This window comes from Homo sapiens, chromosome 12, assembly GCF_000001405.40.
Source record: "Homo sapiens chromosome 12, GRCh38.p14 Primary Assembly".
In the NCBI taxonomy this organism is placed as follows: Eukaryota; Metazoa; Chordata; class Mammalia; order Primates; family Hominidae; genus Homo; species Homo sapiens.
Window position 1 is genome coordinate 79035261 of NC_000012.12, and position 21213 is coordinate 79056473.

The following is a 21213-nucleotide window of genomic DNA, read 5'->3' on the forward strand; positions in this document are numbered from 1 at the left end:
GTGTATAGAGAATTGCTACCCCATTCTCTCTACCTCACTTCCCCAAAAGTTGGGAAAGCTGAATCCATTTATGTTCATTGTTTGTCATTTCACCAACATCCTCCATCCTTATAGGAAATGTGCAGAGTTTAGGCAGTTACCTTAGAGCACTTTGTAAAGATTTTTGGTTGGCTTCTCCTTTTTATGAAGCCAACAATTATGTATCTGTTTTATCTCAACATTCTCCAGACTCTAACTGTTGCAGCATCAGAATCTGTGTAGATATCAATACCTTCTGGAAATGAAATAATTCCTTTGCATTCTCTTTCCCTCATGCCTTCCTCCTCTTCTGTAGTCCCCTTTGTTTACCCACCACTTCCTGCCCACAAAGCCACCCATTCTGCCATCACTGCCATGCCAGCTTCCTTATAGGAATATTGCCATGGTGGTCTTGATTTGTACATAGAATCATAAGAGACATTCTGCTCTGTTTTGATATAGCTGAGAAAATGACCCCTGCTCACCCCTGCAGACTCAACTGGCAAGGAAACTTGAAGCTGTAGCTTCAGTTGCTTGTAATGCTTTTTAAATAGACCTTTCTCATTAAAGAACTGTACATCTTTGAACCTCATGTGATAAGTGCCCTGGCCTCTCTTTCCAAGAACACCTAGGAGAATATGACAATGAGAAAACAAAACAAACAAACAAACAAAAAAAAAAAAAACAAGGTAGAGGCATCACAGAAGTCCCAGGAACCATCCAGCCTTCATGGCTGAGAAGTCATCTTTGGCAGCTGCCAATCAACATTCCTGTCCAGTTTTTAAGCTCAGAGTATTTTCTGCTCATCTCCATTCATTGATGAGAGTTTATCTAACAACTACTCATTTTAAGTACCAGCTTATTACAGGGAAGCACAAATATATAGTGCATGGCCTCCTCTAGTTGTCAAGACTAAATGAGCATTGATGAAACTGGGAAAATAGAGAGATCATGTGTAAGTAAGTGTTGAATTTTGTGTTACAGAATGTAAGTACCTGACAAGCTTGTAGGAAAAAAAATACCTAAGGAAGCCATTGTTGGTATGGAAAGCTTCATGGAGGTGTCAGTAATTGCCAGATGGGTATTGAATTAGCTCTTCATGGAATTAAATATAGATGCTAAGAATTTATTCAGCTCCTTTTCCTCTACAATGAGTAGTCTCAATTATATGACCCTGTAGTAAAAGAATGTTTACATAAACTCCTACCATTTTGTAGCATCTTTTGAACACTCTTCATATCTCTTCACTTGGGGATGCTAAACGTGGAAGCAGGAAGTGTGTAGAGTCACTCTGACTGTAATAAAAAGAAAAGATAAAGATTTCTACATCTGCATACCTATATCAATAGTACATGTGAATGTCAGTTCATGCATACAAAAACCATAAATTACCTTTGGCATTCTCTCCTTTATATTAAAGCCCCTTTCAGTGGTACTTACTTTTCATTATTTGAATCAGTGCATTGATCCTTTATTCATCTTTTCTATTTTTCTCATTTCTCTTTATATAATTCATATCAGGCTATTCTCTTTCACGAGAGTGTTCACAATGGCCCATTTTAATAAACGGACCTGTATGCAGAAATATTTAAAGCTGGAAGTCACCTTGGAGAATCAACTTCTCCCACTCTCTCATTTCACAGCTAATGAAATCAAGGTCAGAATAGATGAAGTGATTTGCCTAAGGTTATGGACTAAATAGAGGCATCAGAAATAGGATTATAAGATACAGAATTTTACTTTTGTCATTATGTAACCTTATTAATTGAACATTTATTTATGTGACAGGTACTATTCTAGGGGCTGGAGACCAACCAAAGCCCCCCCAGGTACAATTCTGCTCCTGATATTCACATCTCTGCAGATTTCAGTTAGATGTGCTCAATGTGACTTTCCGTTATAGATTTTGGTAAATAGTTTTGTTTCTTCATGCTTTGATAGTGCCCTTATCGTCACTCAGTCCCAATTAACTTCCCCAAGCTTCTCATTTAATTAATTCCCATCCTTTTTTTTTCAAGGTACATACTAGCTCTCCTGACTTAGTGCCATCCTGCCTCATTGTCATCCCCCCTTTCTAAAATAATTATTTTGAGTATAATGAAATGTTAAACATGATTGAACCCAGTATGTGATTATTGTAACTCTGGCTGCCAACAGATGTTTTCGTATTTGTTGACTTGTATAATAAAGTGTCAAAACAGAAAAAATGAGTAGTTCTTTCATCCCTGCCCCCTTTCCCTTTTTAAAATCTTTGTTACTAAACATTTGTTCTGTCATAATGAGAGCGGGCTTGTAGACTTATGCCTCTTACATGGTTGTCAATGGTTAGACAACAAAAGAGAAAAAATAGGAAAATTCTTCTGCCCTAAATATGAGGTACAATCTTTTGGCCTTCTACCTTCATTTCCAAGAAAGTCCATATTCTGAACCATTACCTTCCATACTGTTCCTACCAGCAACCCCACAGGTACTTCTAGTGGTTACCTGTAACCATAGAACATTTCTTTGTTTACTCTATTACTTGATGAATTCTTTTTCTTTCACTACCTAATACTCTTTAGTAGTTATCCAGGTAAACATTATTATCTTCTATAGCTGTAGACACAATCAGATAATGTTGTGCTTAATGAACAAAATAAAATAGCCACAGTTTCATGTAATACAGTATTGATAATGAAAATGGCATTTTATTTTTGTTTAATATTTTTAAAGGATAGTTGTATGGTCTTTTTTTGGTAATGTTTATTGCTCTATAATTTTAAGTTCTCACAAAAAGCTGCAGGGATAGTACAGGTTCTCATATGCCCTCTACCTTGACTCACTAATTATTTACCTTTTGTCATATGTCATTTTTTCTCTATCTTCTCTCTCTCTGTGAATATATGAATATATATATATATACACACACACATATATATACACATATATATACACACATATATATATACACACATACATATATATATATAGTTGTCCAATACAGGCAATTTATCTTTAATATAATGGTATTAATATAATACCATTATCTAAATCACAATCTATATTCAAATTTCATCTACTGTCCTAATAATGTTCTTAACAGTTAATTGTTTTATTTCCCACTGGTCCAGGATCCAATCTAGAATCATGCAGTGAATTTAGTTGCCATACAGTGCTTTATTTTTGTGTTGAAAAGCTTACATTAACAATAATGATCTGGACAGTGTCCTTTTAAAAATAATCCCTGCTTACTGACTGCTGTTCCAATAATAAGAATTTAAGTCAAAAGATATGTAACAAAATCCCTTAGGATTAGTGATATCTGTGCTGAGGATATCTGTGCACATCAACCTTGTAACTATTTTCTAACCACCAGTTTTGGCATTTCAATGGGAGAGGGTCCAAGACAGAAAACTCTGAGTTTATTAATATTTTACAGTTTTGAAATTTAAACCTTAGGACTAGGATTCTACTGCCATTCTAGTCCATCATGGGTTAAAGGGATAGTGTTTATAAGTAGCCATGGAACAAGGATTCACAGTGCCCTCTTTAAAGCCAATCCTAAATAAATATTTAGCTCAGCACTATGCTACCGAAGCCTCAAATAAAATCAATATTCTCCTCAAAAGAAATGCTTGATATATTTAAAACAAAACCTGGATGTAAATATGAGTTGTCATTCTTGAAAGTAAGTTATCTTTTTAAAAACATACAGCTATGCACTTTTAAATGTCCAACATTAAAATGAATATAAATAGTTGTCTTCCTCCCCAAAAATGCCGCAAAAATTATTTGTATATTTCTGATGCCTAAAGCATGCAGTGTTTTGCTTAATTCTGTAAATAGACTATGGTTAGGTCTACAGGGTGTGAGCAGTTTGCTTTCTAGCCTCTGTCGAAGCAACAATAATCCCTAAATCTCAGATATATTTTCTCAATGTCAAGCCTGTTTCTAAAACTAGATACAAAAAAACACTAAAAAGTCATCAGCTTTACCAACTATGAATGTATATAATATTTTGTGAAAAACACACAACCCTACCTAAACAGATTAATGTTCTTTAAAAGTATTGTACAAAAACATAAAAGTATCAAGCCTTGATAAGAGAAAATTATCTGAGTCAGTTAATACCAATTACATTACTGAAACATCAGATAGATGATGGAAGGTGCAAAATAATCCTTTGCTATGTTCACTTTCTCCTCTAAAATAAAGACAAGGCATTTATACATGCAAGAAATAGAAATTAGCTACCAGAAAAATGCTGTGCCCATCCATATTCAGAGCATAGATTAAGAATAAAATAGTTTTTTAATTGATTCTACCACATTTTTTATTTTTTTATTTTTTATTTATTTTTATTTTTTTATTTTTTTTATTATACTTTAAGTTTTAGGGTACATGTGCACATTGTGCAGGTTAGTTACATATGTATACATGTGCCATGCTGGTGCGCTGCACCCACTAACTGGTCATCTAGCATTAGGTATATCTCCCAATGCTATCCCTTCCCCCTCCCCCCACCCAACAACAGTCCCCAGAGTGTGATATTCCCCTTCCTGTGTCCATGTGATCTCATTGTTCAATTCCCACCTATGAGTGAGAATATGCGGTGTTTGGTTTTTTGTTCTTGTGATAGTTTACTGAGAATGATGATTTCCAATTTCATCCATGTCCCTACAAAGGACATGAACTCATCATTTTTTATGGCTGCATAGTATTCCATGGTGTATATGTGCCACATTTTCTTAATCCAGTCTATCATTGTTGGACATTTGGGTTGGTTCCAAGTCTTTGCTATTGTGAGTAATGCCGCAATAAACATACGGGTGCATGTGTCTTTATAGCAGCATGCTTTATAGTCCTTTGGGTATATACCCAGTAATGGGATGGCTGGGTCAAATGGTATTTCTAGTTCCAGATCCCTGAGGAATCGCCACACTGACTTCCACAATGGTTGAACTAGTTTACAGTCCCACCAACAGTGTAAAAGTGTTCCTATTTCTCCACATCCTCTCCAGCACCTGTTGTTTCCTGACTTTTTAATGATTGCCATTCTAACTGGTGTGAGATGGTATCTCATTGTGGTTTCGATTTGCATTTCTCTGATGGCCAGTGATGATGAGCATTTCTTCATGTGTTTTTTGGCAGCATAAATGTCTTCTTTTGAGAAGTGTCTGTTCATGTCCTTCACCCACTTTTTGATGGGGTTGTTTGTTTTTTTCTTGTAAATTTGTTTGAGTTCATTGTAGATTCTGGATATTAGCCCTTTGACAGATGAGCAGGTTGCAAAAATTTTCTCCCATTTTGTAGGTTGCCTGTTCACTCTGATGGTAGTTTCTTTTGCTGTGCAGAAGCTCTTTAGTTTAATTAGATCCCATTTGTCAATTTTGTCTTTTGTTGCCATTGCTTTTGGTGTTTTGGACATGAAGTCCTTGCCCATGCCTATGTACTGAATGGTAATGCCTAAGTTTTCTTCTAGGGTTTTTATGGTTTTAGGTCTAACGTTTAAGTCTTTAATCCATCTTGAATTAATTTTTGTATAAGGTGTAAGGAAGGGATCCAGTTTCAGCTTTCTACATATGGCTAGCCAGTTTTCCCAGCACCATTTATTAAATAGGGAATCCTTTCCCCATTGCTTGTTTTTCTCAGGTTTGTCAAAGATCAGATAGTTGTAGATATGCGGCGTTATTTCTGAGGGCTCTGTTCTGTTCCATTGATCTATATCTCTGTTTTGGTACCAGTACCCTGCTGTTTTGGTTACTGTAGCCTTGTAGTGTAGTTTGAAGTCAGGTAGTGTGATGCCTCCAGCTTTGTTCTTTTGGCTTAAGATTGACTTGGCAATGCGGGCTCTTTTTTGGTTCCATATGAACTTTAAAGTAGTTTTTTCCAATTCTGTGAAGAAAGTCATTGGTAGCTTGATGGGGATGGCATTGAATCTGTAAATTACCTTGGGCAGTATGGCCATTTTCATGATATTCATTCTTCCTACCCATGAGCATGGAATGTTCTTCCATTTGTTTGTATCCTCTTTTATTTCATTGAGCAGTGGTTTGTAGTTCTCCTTGAAGAGGTCCTTCACATCCCCTGTAAGTTGGATTCCTAGGTATTTTATTCTCTTTGAAGCAATTGTGAATGGGATTTCACTCATGATTTGGCTCTCTGTTTGTCTGTTGTTGGTGTATAAGAATGCTTGTGATTTTTGTACATTGATTTTGTATCCTGAGACTTTGCTGAAGTTGCTTATCAGCTTAAGGAGATTTTGGGCTGAGACAATGGGGTTTTCTTGATACACAATCATGTCGTCTGCAAACAGGGACAGTTTGACTTCTTATTTTCCTAATTGAATACCCTTTATTTCCTTCTCCTGCCTAATTGCCCTGGCCAGAACTTCCAACACTATGTTGAATAGGAGTGGTGAGACAGGGCATCCCTGTCTTGTGCCAGTTTTCAAAGGGAATGCTTCCAGTTTTTGCCCATTCAGTATGATATTGGCTGTGGGTTTGTCATAGATAGCTCTTATTATTTTGAAATACGTCCCATCAATACCTAATTTATTGAGAGTTTTTAGCATGAAGGGTTGTTGAATTTTGTCAAAGGCTTTTTCTGCAACTATTGAGATAATCATGTGGTTTTTGTCTTTGGTTCTGTTTATATGCTGGATTCCATTTATTGATTTGCATATATTGAACCAGCCTTGCATCCCAGTGATGAAGCCCACTTGATCATGGTGGATAAGCTTTTTGATGTGCTGCTGGATTCGTTTTGCCAGTATTTTATTGAGGATTTTTGCATCAATGTTCATCAAGGATATTGGTCTAAAATTCTCTTTTTTGGTTGTGTCTCTGCCCAGCTTTGGTATCAGAATGATGCTGGCCTCATAAAATGAGTTAGGGAGGATTCCCTCTTTTTCTATTGATTGGAATAGTTTCAGAAGGAATGGTACCAGCTCCTCCTTATACCTCTGGTAGAATTCGGCTGTGAATCCATCTGGTCCTGGACTCTTTTTGGTTGGTAAGCTATTGATTATTGCCACAATTTCAGATCCTGTTATTGGTCTATTCAGAGATTCAACTTCTTCCTGGTTTAGTCCTGGGAGAGTGTATGTGTCGAGGAATTTATCCATTTCTTCTAGATTTTCTAGTTTATTTGCGTAGAGGTGTTTGTAGTATTCTCTGATGGTAGTTTGTATTTCTGTGGGATCGGTGGTGATATCCCCTTTATCATTTTTTATTGCATCTATTTGATTCTTCTCTCTTTTTTTCTTTATTAGTCTTGCTAGTGGTCTATCAATTTTGTTGATCCTTTCAAAAAACCAGCTCCTGGATTCATTAATTTTTTGAAGGGTTTTTTGTGTCTCTATTTCCTTCAGTTCTGCTCTGATTTTAGTTATTTCTTGCCTTCTGCTAGCTTTTGAATGTGTTTGCTCTTGCTTTTCTAGTTCTTTTAATTGTGATGTTAGGGTGTCAATTTTGGATCTTTCCTGCTTTCTCCTGTGGGCATTTAGTGCTATAAATTTCCCTCTACACACTGCTTTGAATGTGTCCCAGAGATTCTGGTATGTTGTGTCTTTGTTCTCATTGGTTTCAAAGAACATCTTTATTTCTGCCTTCATTTTGTTATGTACCCAGTAGTCACTCAGGAGCAGGTTGTTTAGTTTCCATGTAGTTGAGCGGTTTTGAATGAGATTCTTAATCCTGAGTTCTAGTTTGATTGCACTGTGGTCTGAGAGATAGTTTGTTATAATTTCTGTTCTTTTACATTTGCTGAGGAGAGCTTTACTTCCAAGTATGTGGTCAATTTTGGAATAGGTGTGGTGTGGTGCTGAAAAAAATGTATATTCTGTTGATTTGGGGTGGAGGGTTCTGTAGATGTCTATTAGGTCCGCTTGGTGCAGAGCTGAGTTCAATTCCTGGGTATCCTTGTTGACTTTCTGTCTTGTTGATCTGTCTAATGTTGACAGTGGGGTGTTAAAGTCTCCCATTATTAATGTGTGGGAGTCTAAGTCTCTTTGTGGGTCACTCAGGACTTGCTTTATGAATCTGGGTCCTCCTGTATTGGGTGCATATATATTTGGGATAGTTAGCTCTTCTTGTTGAATTGATCCCTTTACCATTATGTAATGGCCTTCTTTGTCTCTTTTGATCTTTGTTGGTTTAAAGTCTGTTTTATCAGAGACTAGGATTGCAACCCCTGCCTTTTTTTGTTTTCCATTTGCTTGGTAGATCTTCCTCCATCCTTTTATTTTGAGCCTATGTGTGTCTCTGCATGTGAGATGGGTTTCCTGAATACAGCACACTGATGGGTCTTGACTCTTTATCCAATATGCCAGTCTGTGTCTTTTAATTGGAGCATTTAGTCCATTTACATTTAAAGTTAGTATTGTTATGTGTGAATTTAATCCTGTCATTATGATGTTAGCTGGTTCTTTTGCTGGTTAGTCGATGCAGTTTCTTCCTAGTCTCCATGGTCTTTACATTTTGGCATGATTTTGCAGCGGCTGGTGCCAGTTGTTCCTTTCCATGTTTAGCACTTCCTTCAGGAGCTCTTTTAGGGCGGGCCTGGTGGTGACAAAATCTCTCAGCATTTGCTTGTCTGTAAAGTATTTTATTTCTCCTTCGCTTATGAAGTTTAGTTTGGCTGGATATGAAATTCTGGGTCGAAAATTGTTTTCTTTAAGAATGTTGAATATTGGCCCCCACTCTCTTCTGGCTTGTAGGGTTTCTGCCGAGAGATCCGCTGTTAGTCTGATGGGCTTCCCTTTGTGGGTAACCCAACCTTTCTCTCTGGCTGCCCTTAACATTTTTTCCTTCATTTCAACTTTGGTGAATCTGACAATTATGTGTCTTGGAGTTGCTCTTCTCGAGGAGTATCTTTGTGGCATTCTCTGTATTTCCTGAATCTGAATGTTGGCCTGCCTTGCTAGATTGGGGAAGTTCTCCTGGATAATATCCTGCAGAGTGTTTTCCAACTTGGTTCCATTCTCCCCATCACTTTCAGGTACACCAGTCAGACGTAGACTTGGTCTTTTCACATAGTCCCATATTTCTTGGAAGCTTTGCTCATTTCTTTTTATTCTTTTTTCTCTAAACTTCCCTTCTCGCTTCATTTCATTCATTTCATCTTCTATTGCTGATACCCTTTCTTCCAGTTGATCGCATTGGCTCCTGAGGCTTCTGCATTCTTCACGTAGTTCTCGAGCCTTGGTTTTCAGCTCCATCAGCTCCTTTAAGCACTTCTCTGTATTGGTTATTCTAGTTATACATTCTTCTAAATTTTTTTTCAAAGTTTTCAACTTCTTTGCCTTTGGTTTGAATGTCCTCCCGTAGCTCAGAGTAATTTGATCGTCTGAAGCCTTCTTCTCTCAGCTCGTCAAAGTCATTCTCCATCCAGCTTTGTTCCGTTGCTGGTGAGGAACTGCGTTCCTTTGGAGGAGGAGAGGCACTCTGCTTTTTAGAGTTTCCAGTTTTTCTGTTCTGTTTTTTCCCCATCTTTGTGGTTTTATCTACTTTTGGTCTTTGATGATGGTGATGTACAGATGGGTTTTTGGTGTGGATGTCCTTTCTGTTTGTTAGTTTTCCTTCTAACAGACAGGACCCTCAGCTGCAGGTCTGTTGGAGTACGCTGCCGTGTGAGGTGTCAGTGTGCCCCTGCTGGGGGGTGCCTCCCAGTTAGGCCGCTCGGGGGTCAGGGACACACTTGAGGAGGCAGTCTGCCCGTTCTCAGATCTGCAGCTGCGTGCTGGGAGAACCACTGCTCTCTTCAAAGCTGTCAGACAGGGACATTTAAGTCTGCAGAGGTTACTGCTGTCTTTTTGTTTGTCTGTGCCCTGCCCCCAGAGGTGGAGCCTACAGAGGCAGGCAGGCCTCCTTGAGCTGTGGTGGGCTCCACCCAGTTCGAGCTTCCCGGCTGCTTTGTTTACCTAAGCAAGCCCGGGCAATGGCGGGCGCCCCTCCCCCAGCCTGGCTGCCGCCTTGCAGTTTGATCTCAGACTGCTGTGCTAGCAATCAGCGAGACTACGTGGGCGTAGGACCCGCCGAGCCAGGTGCGGGATATAATCTCGTGGTGCGCCATTTTTTAAGCCGGTCGGAAAAGCGCAGTATTCGGGAGGGAGTGACCCGATTTTCCAGGTGCGTCTGTTACCCCTTTCTTTGACTCCGAAAGGGAACTCCCTGACCCCTTGCGCTTCCCAAGTGAGGCAATGCCTCGCCCCTGTTTCGGCTCGCGCACGGTGCGCACACCCACTGACCTGCTCCCACTGTCTGGCACTCCCTAGTGAGATGAACCCGGTACCTCAGATGGAAATGCAGAAATCACCTGTCTTCTGCGTCACTCACGCTGGGAGCTGTAGACAGCACTGTTCCTATTCGGCCATCTTGGCTCCTCCCTGATTCTACCACCAAGAATAAAATAGTTGTTTGTCCCCTACAGTAGAACAAGTTTGCCCATTCATCCTTGTGATAGATATGCATGCAAAACCAAAATGAAATCAAATCCCCACAGATGGCTCGTAAGTCAAAAACACTGTTTAATTCTTTCACTGCATCCCTTTGGGAAGCCTGGCCCTTGGTAAGTAGTAATGTACAATGTATATAGTGTCAACTATTCTCTTATTTTTTAATAGAATGTCTTTGTCTTATTTAACAGGTTTTTTTCCCATATTTCTTGTAAGAAGCTCTGTGTCACTGTTTACCTTAATGTGTATGTCCACAGAATCTTGCTCTAGTTTTTGTTTTAATAAAAAAGAAGTGTCCGTATACTAAAACTATACAAAGCATATCTAAAATTGATTATGGCTCTAAGTCATGTTTTTAGAGGCAGTCAGGCAAACCTAGGTGCATTTTAACATTGCTCTTCCAAATGGATTTTACTAAGAAACAGTTGAGTTTCAAGCAGGAATAAAGGAAAAGCAGATCTTGGAGATTTAACTGTTGAGCAGATGCAGTAAATGAGGTTTTGGAAATACCGCTGTCACTTTAGATATTTTATGCTGAGTTACCTATGTGACCCAATAGCTAGAGCTGCTGATATTAAAATATTTTTGTAATTCTGTTGAAAATAGATGCCATGAGAACTCTTAAAAACAGAGTAACATACTTATTATAAGACCTATTTTAAATATTTCATTCTTTCCTCATTTTCATGATACCTAAATTTTTTGAAGACTGAAAATGATGAGAACTTATATAAAAAGGTACTTGTCTGTAGCATCATGGAAATTTTCATTTATGAGTTGTTAACATGTCAAACCAAATCAGAAATTCCTGATATCTTTATTACATTAAAGCAATTCTTAATGTTGCCTCTTGAGAAGGGTTTAATTTTTTTACTCTTTAAACTGAAAGTTTATCTTTTTTATGCAATGACGTGCAATCATTTTTCTCTTAATTCCTGATGGGCTTGTAATATATACATATTTATTTGTGTGTGTATGTACCTACATATCTATTAATATGTATATAAACATGTATATTTAAATACATGTATGTTTATCCTATGTACTAGAATAGTTAGTAGGTTATATCTAGATATTGATTAGCTTCTGAAAATAGGCAAATATGTATAACATATTGAGGTGTTTCTAACATCGGTGAAAAATATAAAACTTAAAAGTAACATGGGGCTGTACAAGGTTGATTTGTAATAGTCATATTGGTAATTGAGACAGCACCAGATATTTAATTGACTAAGAATCATGTGATTTATTTCTTAATAAATGTAATATTCTCTAATGTCTGCCTAGATTAGTGTTACTCTAATTTCAAATTAAAACACTATAGAAAGCATAATTGACTTTTCATAAAATCAGTATATAAACTATCCACAGACTCTCAATCTCTAGCTCATCAAACAACTTTAAAATCCAAACTATCTGTATTATATATACTAAATATGGATATATATGACATTATTTTTATTGGAATATATAGTAAAATTTTAAGTAGAAATATTAAATAATAAAATTAACATATTTATGACAAAAATGATTCTGAACTATGTGTAGTCAAGTAACCTCTGTATATATTGTTTTCCTTTTAGAAAAACAGAATAATTCTGAAAGAAAGAAAACAAAGAAAAACATACTCCAGAATTCCTAATAGAACAGTAAGTACTTTAATGACACAATGATGATAATAAATCTGTAAAATTAGAGCTTACAAATGTCTTTTATAGAAATACTAACTTCTATTTTCTAAGATAATAAATTAGTAGAGGAAGCAAGTTGAGCCTTCTCTTTCAATTTACTGGAGTAAACTGAAAATCATTTGTCCTATAATCCTCTTACATAAGAGGGCAAAGTACTCGTTGTGATACATTTATGGGGCAGAAAACGTTTATGATGACTCCATCATATCTTTTGACTAGCATAGTATCATCTTAAATTCTAAAGAAGAAAACAGTAATAAGCTAGATGTAATCAAAGTGCCTCATTTTCTCCATATGTGATAAAAAGTTTTTACTTATTTTGAACAAAATTTTAAATACTATTGATGTGCTTGGTTTATTTATAATCACTAAATTGGGATTATTAAAAAATGGCAGCTATCTGCAGGCTTAAAATCTACACCATATTCTCATTAGTACATTTGTTTCTAATCTCACAACTTAACTAAAAGTGTATTTCCTAGAAATGTATTTCCTTGCTATTGTTTGATGATAATATAGTTTTCCTAAATATGTTCTCACTAAGCAAAGTACATGTTGATGTCAATCTTTATGGTAAAATTGGTGACAATATAAAATTTTCAAGATGCAGGCAATTATAAATTTTGAATATGTGAATATGAAGAACAATAACATAAAGATAGAAAAGCAAAACCCATGTTGATGACCCACGTTGTATCACATTTAATATTTTTGAAACTGCATTTGAAATTGCATTTCAAACTCAATGTTTCAAAAGTTTCAAACAAATATTAGAGTAAAACATAGTATAATAAATTAACAAAATGAAACATCTATATCTTAGTACATATCAAACTAGAGTCAAGTTCAATGGAAAAAAATGTAAGTTTGATATATAAAAAGTAGAAATTTCTAAATAATTTTATAGGATATATACAAATTATTCCTGCATAATAACATTTTTTAGCCCCAAAGAACTTTGATGCATAAATTACATCTTAACTTTGAATGATTGGGTATAATTAATCATCATCACGATGATATAAATGAAGTTTATCTGAAATATATTTTATTTATTTTTGAGGTGTGAGAAAGGCAGAGAAAACACATTTCTTTTACCTGCCTGTCTGAAGGTTATGTATGTTACAACTTCACACAAAGCACTCTGCCACTTACTTTTTGTTGTAGTTATGAACGGCCATATATTTTAAACAGAAATCTATAAAATTTATAATTCAAAATGTTTACACTTTTAAAAACTACTCTTTGATTTAAAAAATTAACTCTAAATGTATGAAAGTCTATTTTGAGTATTCAGAGCAGGTTACGGGCATGTTTACATAGTTCTGGGTACAGGGATAATTTAAGAATCAGATTTTTCTGTCATATATAACAATTTTTGAAACCTGCAAATCTGCGTGAGTTACAAGATATGAAATAAGTGAGAAATTTCTTTTTGACATAGAAATTTTTTATCATCTTAATACCCTAACATAGACAATGAAATCATTCAGCCAAAACAAACCTTTTTCAACATCTAAAAGACTAGACTGTCTTAAAGTTTTGTTTTTATATATATAATTCTGTTTCTAAACATAATTTCAATTCTGTACAATACTCATTGGAAAATGGTTGAATTTTTTAAACTGACAGGACTGACATAAGCTCTTTATGCAAGAACCAAGTGATATCTACTTCACTCCCTCACAATTTCTCGGCCCTCTGAGTATAATTTCATGTGAAAAGCCATCAATGACTCCTTTTCTGCGCTGATTTATGTATAAGTTATTTGATCTATTGTTCAGGTGTGACCTATATAAGTTATTTGACTGGAACTGTAATTTTCATAATTGTATTGAAATAGGATTTAGCCTAGCATACCTCGGAGACATCTCATTCAAGTAATGAGATCTCCTGTTCATTTGCAGTAATCTTAGAAAAAAATAACATACATGTTTCCAAAGAAGAAATTATGCCTCTTTTCATGCATTTTTATGTGGTTTGGAGCAGGTTTTAATCTCAGATTTTAATTACCTATTATTTAATAATTATATGCTAAATCACTCATAAATTACATGCAAAAAAAGACTCTTCTTATTATACTGTAATAAAAAGTATAATTTATCCTTTAAAAATTTTATCAGATATTGTGAAGAGGAATACTCTGACTTAAATGACATTGTCAAAACATAAGAGTTCTTAAAATATCTTAGCCACTAAAGGCTCGTGAGTTAGTGTTAGACAATACATGGAATAAAACATGATATCAGATGAATATAATAGATAATACAGTGACATTTTATCTATAGATTGTGCATGTGTTTCTAGCCCATGAATGAGTTTTATGAATTGTATTGGAATCAAAACTTTATAAATGAAAGCTTTTTAGCACAGGAAAGCTCTACAAACCTCTTACAATTTTGCTTTTAAATCCATAGCTTAAGAACAAGTTGATAATTGATTAAAATATTACTATAATATTGCTAAAGACGCTTAGAGCACATTGCATTTATTGCTTACAAAAGGTTTTTGTGCTTAAGAAATATAAAAGATAAAAATATAAGATGCTTTCTTATAAGAATAGAAAAATAAAAGACCACTGGAAAGTGTATTCTAAAATACAGTTGACTCTTGATCACCAACTCCCACACAGTCCTAAAATTCCATGGTTAACTTTTAACTCCTCCAAAACTTAACTACTAATAGCCTACTGTTGACTGGATGTTATCAATAACATAAATAGTTGATTAATTCTTATTTTTCATGTTATGTGTATTATATACTCTTCTTAACAATAAAGTAGGAAAAGTGAAGAAAATATTACTAAGAAAATTGTAAGGAAGAGAAAATGTATTTACTATTCATTAAGTGGAAGTGGATCATCATAAAGGTCTCCATCCTCATCTTCACATTAACTAGGCTGAGGAGGAGAAGGAAGAGGAGGGGTTGGTTGGTTTTACTGTCTCAGCAGTGGCAGAGGCAGAAGAAAACCTGTGAATAAGTGGACCTGCATAGTTCAAACCCGTGTTGTTCAAGTGTCAACTATAGTCATCTTTCTTTTGATTGCTGAAGCTCAGTAATACTTTCAAGAACTTCATAGTCTCCTCCTTGTAAACTCTGATCACACTGGATACTAATAATAAAGAGGGTGTGTTTAAAAAATCATTCAGATGCTCAGACATCCGTGTTAGAAACTCTTCATATTATCCTAGATTTCCTAAGCCTCTTTAATAAAACTGGGAGTTGATACACTCACTCAAAGTGTGACAACTATTAACAACACTGCTTTCCTGAAAAAACAAATATAGCAAGAAGTTTTTAGTAAGAGTGATTCTAATGGAAGGCAGATTTTAACCAATAAAACATCTTGTGGCTCATTAGAGAATAAATATTATTTGCAAATATCCCAAATGTTACCTGCAAATGCTCCTGACAAGTTTTACTTAGTCAATATTTCCCTATTAGAAGTAATAAAGTCCTGCAATAAAAAAGCATAAGCCTGTGAGTGTGTGTAATAGTGGCATAAAGCTAGGAGAAAATTTAGAGGTCACCTATTCTAATATTTTCATTTTATAGAGGTTACCTCCTCTAATATTATCATTTATATATGGCCTGATAGGTCAAGTCATTTGCCTAAGCTCTTATATCTAGTGATAGAATTGAAAAAAAAATCTGTGCTAATTAACCACCCACCATTTTTTTCTATCTGCCATATTAACTGAAAGTGCTGTTATTAAAAAATGCATGTGTCGGAACTGTTAAAAAAAAACTCTTCTCCAAATTTAATCTTTTTTCAACCAAAACACTAGTGAAAATTTATGTAAATTATTGTTTGTCTAATCTCTAGTAGTTTAAAATTGTATTTTGATATAGTTTATTAGAATGATGTTTATAAAAGTTATATATCTCCACAGTATAACCTTTATAAATAAATATATATATACATATATATGTATCTCCACTATGTATGTATAAAGAGAGCTCATTTATATAGGTATTTATTTATTTATATTTATATATATCTCTACTATATATGTATAAAGAGAGAGGTAATCTGAGTCTTGGCTTAATCCATCTCCACCTAATATTTATTAATGATAAGTAGTAAAGAAAAATAACATATGCACATTAAGTTTTCATGTGCAGCGAATCCATAGGAAAATGTGAGGACATTCAAGATTACACAGTGAAAAAACAACTAGATAATAATAATATGTAATAATAATACATAAAAGCAATCTGCCATCAGCAACACTTAAGCAGTTATCTCAATGAGTCTCCCTTTTCTCATCTGGGTAATGAAAAATGTCTACCCAGCATACTTCCCAAGATTCTCTGAGATTGGATTAAGTATATGAAGATCTCTATAGTGATATTTAATTTAAAATTCTTATATATATTATCCTTTCCCCATTGCTTGTTTTTGTCAGGTTTGTCAAAGATCAGATAGCTGTAGATATGCGGCATTATTTCTGAGGGCTCTGTTCTGTTCCATTGGTCTATATCTTTGTTTTGGTACCAGTACCCTGCTGTTTCAGTTACTGTAGCCTTGTAGTATAGTTTGAAGTCAGGTAGCGTGATGCCTCCAGCTTTGTTCTTTTGGCTTAGGATTGACTTGGCAATGCAGGCTCTTTTTTGGTTCCATATGAACTTTAAAATAGTTTTTTCCAATTCTGTGAAGAAAGTCATTGGTAGCTTGATGGGGATGGCATTGAATCTATAAATTACCTTGGGCAGTATGGCCATTTTCACAATATTGATTCTTCCTACCCACGAGCATGGAATGCTCTTCCATTTGTTTGTATCCTCTTTTATTTCATTGAGCAGTGGTTTGTAGTTCTCCTTGAAGGGGTCCTTCACATCCCTTGTAAGTTGGATTCCCTATTTAATAAATGGTGCTGGGAAAACTGGCTAGCCATATGTAGAAAGCTGAAATGGGATCCCTTCCTTACACCTTATACAAAAATTAATTCAAGATGGATTAAAGACTTACATGTTAGACCTAAAACCATAAAAACCCTAGAAGAAAACCTAGACGATACCATTCAGGACATATGCATGGGCAAGGACTTCATGTCTAAAACACCAAAAGCAATGGCAACAAAAGCCAAAATTGATAAATGGGATCTAATTAAACTAAAGAGCTTCTGCACAGCAAAAGAAACTACCATCAGAGTGAATAGGCAGCCTACAGAATGGGAGAAAATTTTTGCAATCTACTCATCTGACAAAGGGCTAATATCCAGAATCTACAATGAACTCAAACAAATTTACAAGAAAAAAACAAACAACCCCATCAAAAAGTGGGTGAAGGATATGAACAGACGCTTCTCAAAAGAAGACATTTATGCAGCCAACAGACACATGAAAAAATGCTCATCATCACTGGCCATCAGAGAAATGCAAATCAAAACCACAATGAGATACCATCTCACACCAGTTAGAATGGCAATCATTAAAAAGTCAGGAAACAACAGGTGCTGGAGAGGATGTGGAGAAATAGGAACACTTCTACACTGTTGGTGGGACTGTAAACTAGTTCAACCCTTATGGAAGTCAGTGTGGTGATTCCTCAGGGATCTAGAACTAGAAATACCATTTGACCCAGCAACACCATTACTGGGTATACACCCAAAGGATTATAAATCATGCTGCTATAAAGACATGTGCACATGTATGTTTATTGCGGCACTATTCACAATAGCAAAGACTTGGAACCAACCCAAATGTCCAACAATGATAGACTGGATTAAGAAAATGTGGCACACATACACCATGGAATACTATGCAGCCATAAAAAATGATGAGTTCATGTCCTTTGTAGGGACATAGATGAAGCTGGAAACCATCATTCTCAGCAAACTATCGCAAGGATAAAAAACCAAATACCGCATGTTCTCACTCATAGGTGGGAATTGAACAATGAGAACACATGGACACAGGAGGGTGAACATCACACACCGAGGACTGTTGTGGGGTGGGGGGAGCAGGGAGGGATAGCGTTAGGAGATATACCTAATGCTAAATGACGAGTTAATGGGTGCAGCACACCAACACGGCACATGTATACATATGTAACAAACCTGCACATTGTGCACACGCACCCCAAAACTTAAAGTACAATAATAATAAAATTTAAAAAAATTCTTATATATATTATATAAATTCTTATGTATAAAATAATGCATATTAACTTTAATTAAAATTATTTTATAATATTGACAATTATTTAAAATATATATCACCAATAAAATATATTGATTTTTAATTAAAAATAATTAAAATTTATATATAAATAAACAACACTTATTTTTAAACAAACAATAAGTATTATTACATAAAACTTAGACTATATTATTGTAAAAATAAGTTGTTTTTGTGAACATTTGCCTTAATTGTTTTTGGAGTACCATGCATCATTTTATGAAGGCATGTTTCTGAAACAACCAAAGTTGTTGGTTGATTTTTGCTTTAGGCAATAATGATCATCCAGAAAAAAAATTCTCTTTTTCTTGAATTTATAATTTATCTTTAATCCTGATCTGTGTTCCCACACATAAGCCTAAGAGAGTTCATATATAGAAGGAAGGGAGTTGGGAAAGGAAAGGAAGCATTTATTGGGCTCTTGTTTTGTGTCAGCTGTTTAGTAGGCATTGAACTAAATTTCATTTAATTATTCAAAGAATTCTTCTGATGTTATAGTGGTTTTGCAGATGATGAAAATGTGGATTGAAAGGTTTATAAGGTTAGCTTACTTAGTATGCAGCAGAGTTGCCATTTAAACTCAGGTCTGTCTGATTTCTCCTTTTCAAGTTAGGACTCAACTAAACGGGGACAACTAGTGAAAGTAAGGCATATTTCACCTTCCTATATGAATGTCTATGCAAAATACTTAATGTGCACACGTTACTTTTCTTTTCTACTTATCATCAATAAATATTAGATTGCATCATGCATATTTGTCCTTCAGATGCTAAAAATAAACCATGGTAGGAGAATTTAATTATTAAAGACAGCAATCTTTTGATAGGAAAAGTAGAACCCAAATCAAAATGGATTATAGCCATAAGTATAAACATTCACCTAAAGGAGAAAAACAATATTTATTTTGTTTGTAAATAACAATACAGTGGACATTCACCATATATACTTAGATTTTTATACATGCTACATTATCTGGACTTATTTTCTTTAAAAACTTTGGTACAACTTTGGAAATTCATTCCTTTATCCTTCATTCTTTATTCAACAGCTGCTATTGATTACCCACTGTATACATAGTTCCAGGTGTTTTAGATATAGGAATAAATAAAGTATAGTCTCTGTCATCAAGTAGTTTATATTTTTAGTAATTACAAATATAGAAAAGTTTGCTTCATAAGGAGAATAAAAGTTATATTGACTATAAGTCATAGATTTTCTTTTCAAGCTACTCGTCTGTTTAACCATGATCAGATTAAATTATGTTTTTATTTGTCAAATGATTCAGTGTTTTGTCACTTTCCCTGGAAATTGAGTAAAATGGGTTTCCCACAATCATTATTATTCATGATAAATCTAAACCATATTTCATGATTTACAGTATTTTTTGATACACTAACAAAGGAGTCTTTTATAATCTTATTATAGCATAGTACTGGCTTTGAAAATTCTCTATATTCAAATGCCAGCTCCACCACTTATTAACTATGGGATGTAGGACAATTTTTTAGACCTCTGTGAGTTTTGATTTCTCCATTGAGTAATTGTGATATTCAAATGAGTCAAATATAGGCAATGTCTTTGTTTATATAAGTGTCTTGTTGATTGTAGTTACTGTATTCAAGTTAGCTATTATAATTAGTTGATAGAATTCAGTTCATTGTTTCTAAAACTTCTTATTAATCTTTGATTTGTAAGCTCTCATTGATATTAGTCTTTATTTTATTCTGAAAAACATTATCTTTCATGACTCTGATATGTAAGTTGTCTAGTCAAAAGAGATAAAGTGGAAATTATTTAACCAGCATTTACAGTTTTAAAGAAATCATGTAAAGTCCAAAGTTAATAAGACTTTAAATCAAATGATTTAGCTATATGAATTATTAGTTTTGATCTGCTATAACATTATGATTTATTTACTTGGCTACACCAGGGTTTTGCCTTGGGTTGCATTATTCTCCTTTGTAATTAAGAATGTTTGCACTGGATAAAAAACTGTATTCAAGTGCTATTTCTGCCACTTACTACCTGTGTGTCAGCAGGAAAACAAAATAAGCTGCCTCAATGTCCTCTTCTATAAAAATGAAAATGAATCCTATTTTATACGTTTCATATGAGAATAATGACATGTTTATTAACTGCTTATTACAGAAATTAATATAGTAACATAAGTAAAAATTATTGTTGTTATATTTGTTATTTAAAACATCTTAGTAATATCAAAGGGGCATTCTTTTCTTTCAAATTTATTTATTTATTATAAATTGACATCTTTTAAATTATAAAACATAGTCATGTACCACCTAACAAATTTCAGTCAATGATGGACTGCATATATAGCAGTGACACCTTAAGATTATAATATCAGATTTTTACTGTACCTTTTCTGTTAAGATGCACAGATACTTACCAATGTGTTATAATTGCCTACAGTATTCAGTACAGTGACATGTACAGGTTTGTAGCCCAAGAACAAAAGGCTAAACCATACAGCCTAGGTGTGAGGTAGACTGTACCATCTAGGTTAGTATAAGTACATGCTATGCTGTTCAGCAACAACAAAATTGCCTAATGATGCATTTCTCAGGATGTACCCCTGTTGTTGAGTGATTCATAACTGTATATAGAAGTCTAGATGGAATAAAGAGGAAGGGAAAGTGTGAGGGAAGAAAGAAAAGGAGAAAAGTCTGGTTGGAAATCTTTAACACAAGATGAAATTTCGATTTGATAGAGTAGGATGCAGGCTTGCTTTGGGAGGAGTCCATCAGGAGCCCTCTCCTTGAAGGCCTCTTCCTTCTTAAAGCAAACACAGAAATTAGACAATCTCAATAGCATGACTCACTTCCAGAAAGGTGGAGAGTAAAGCTTGAGACATTTTGACAGTCTTCG

The 21213-nt window shown here is 34.8% G+C and overlaps 1 protein-coding gene and 1 long non-coding RNA gene across 18 annotated transcripts in view, besides 1 other annotated feature; one reads left to right on the forward strand and one right to left on the reverse strand.

The window, feature by feature from the left end:
• The window catches only part of SYT1 (synaptotagmin 1), a 588027-nt gene that overhangs the window by 171279 nt on the left and 395535 nt on the right, over positions 1–21213 (forward strand). For 11 of the 16 annotated variants that reach the window (NM_001135805.2, NM_001415940.1, NM_001415943.1 and 8 more), the window contains one exon: positions 12037–12102. The exons of 3 other annotated variants lie outside the window; for them this stretch is intronic. The gene's annotated coding sequence lies outside the window, so the exon portion shown is untranslated. Of the gene's footprint in view, positions 1–10431; positions 10567–12036; positions 12103–21213 lie in introns of those variants that run through there. 2 more of the 16 variants (NM_001135806.2, NM_001415942.1) reach the window with 1 other exon arrangement.
• LOC105369863 (uncharacterized) overlaps positions 1–21213 on the reverse strand; it is a 197856-nt gene that overhangs the window by 130237 nt on the left and 46406 nt on the right. For both annotated transcript variants that reach the window (XR_007063385.1, XR_007063384.1), the window contains one exon: positions 1226–1313. This is a non-coding gene — a long non-coding RNA (uncharacterized LOC105369863). The remainder of the gene's footprint in view (positions 1–1225; positions 1314–21213) is intronic.
• Positions 9548–10134: an enhancer, noted in NCBI's record as "OCT4-NANOG-H3K27ac-H3K4me1 hESC enhancer chr12:79438588-79439174 (GRCh37/hg19 assembly coordinates)". NCBI's record gives its function as "activates a minimal SCP1, AML or CMV promoter by ChIP-STARR-seq in naive H9 embryonic stem cells {active_cell/tissue: H9 hESC(naive)}" and the evidence as "EXISTENCE:reporter gene assay evidence [ECO:0000049][PMID:30033119]".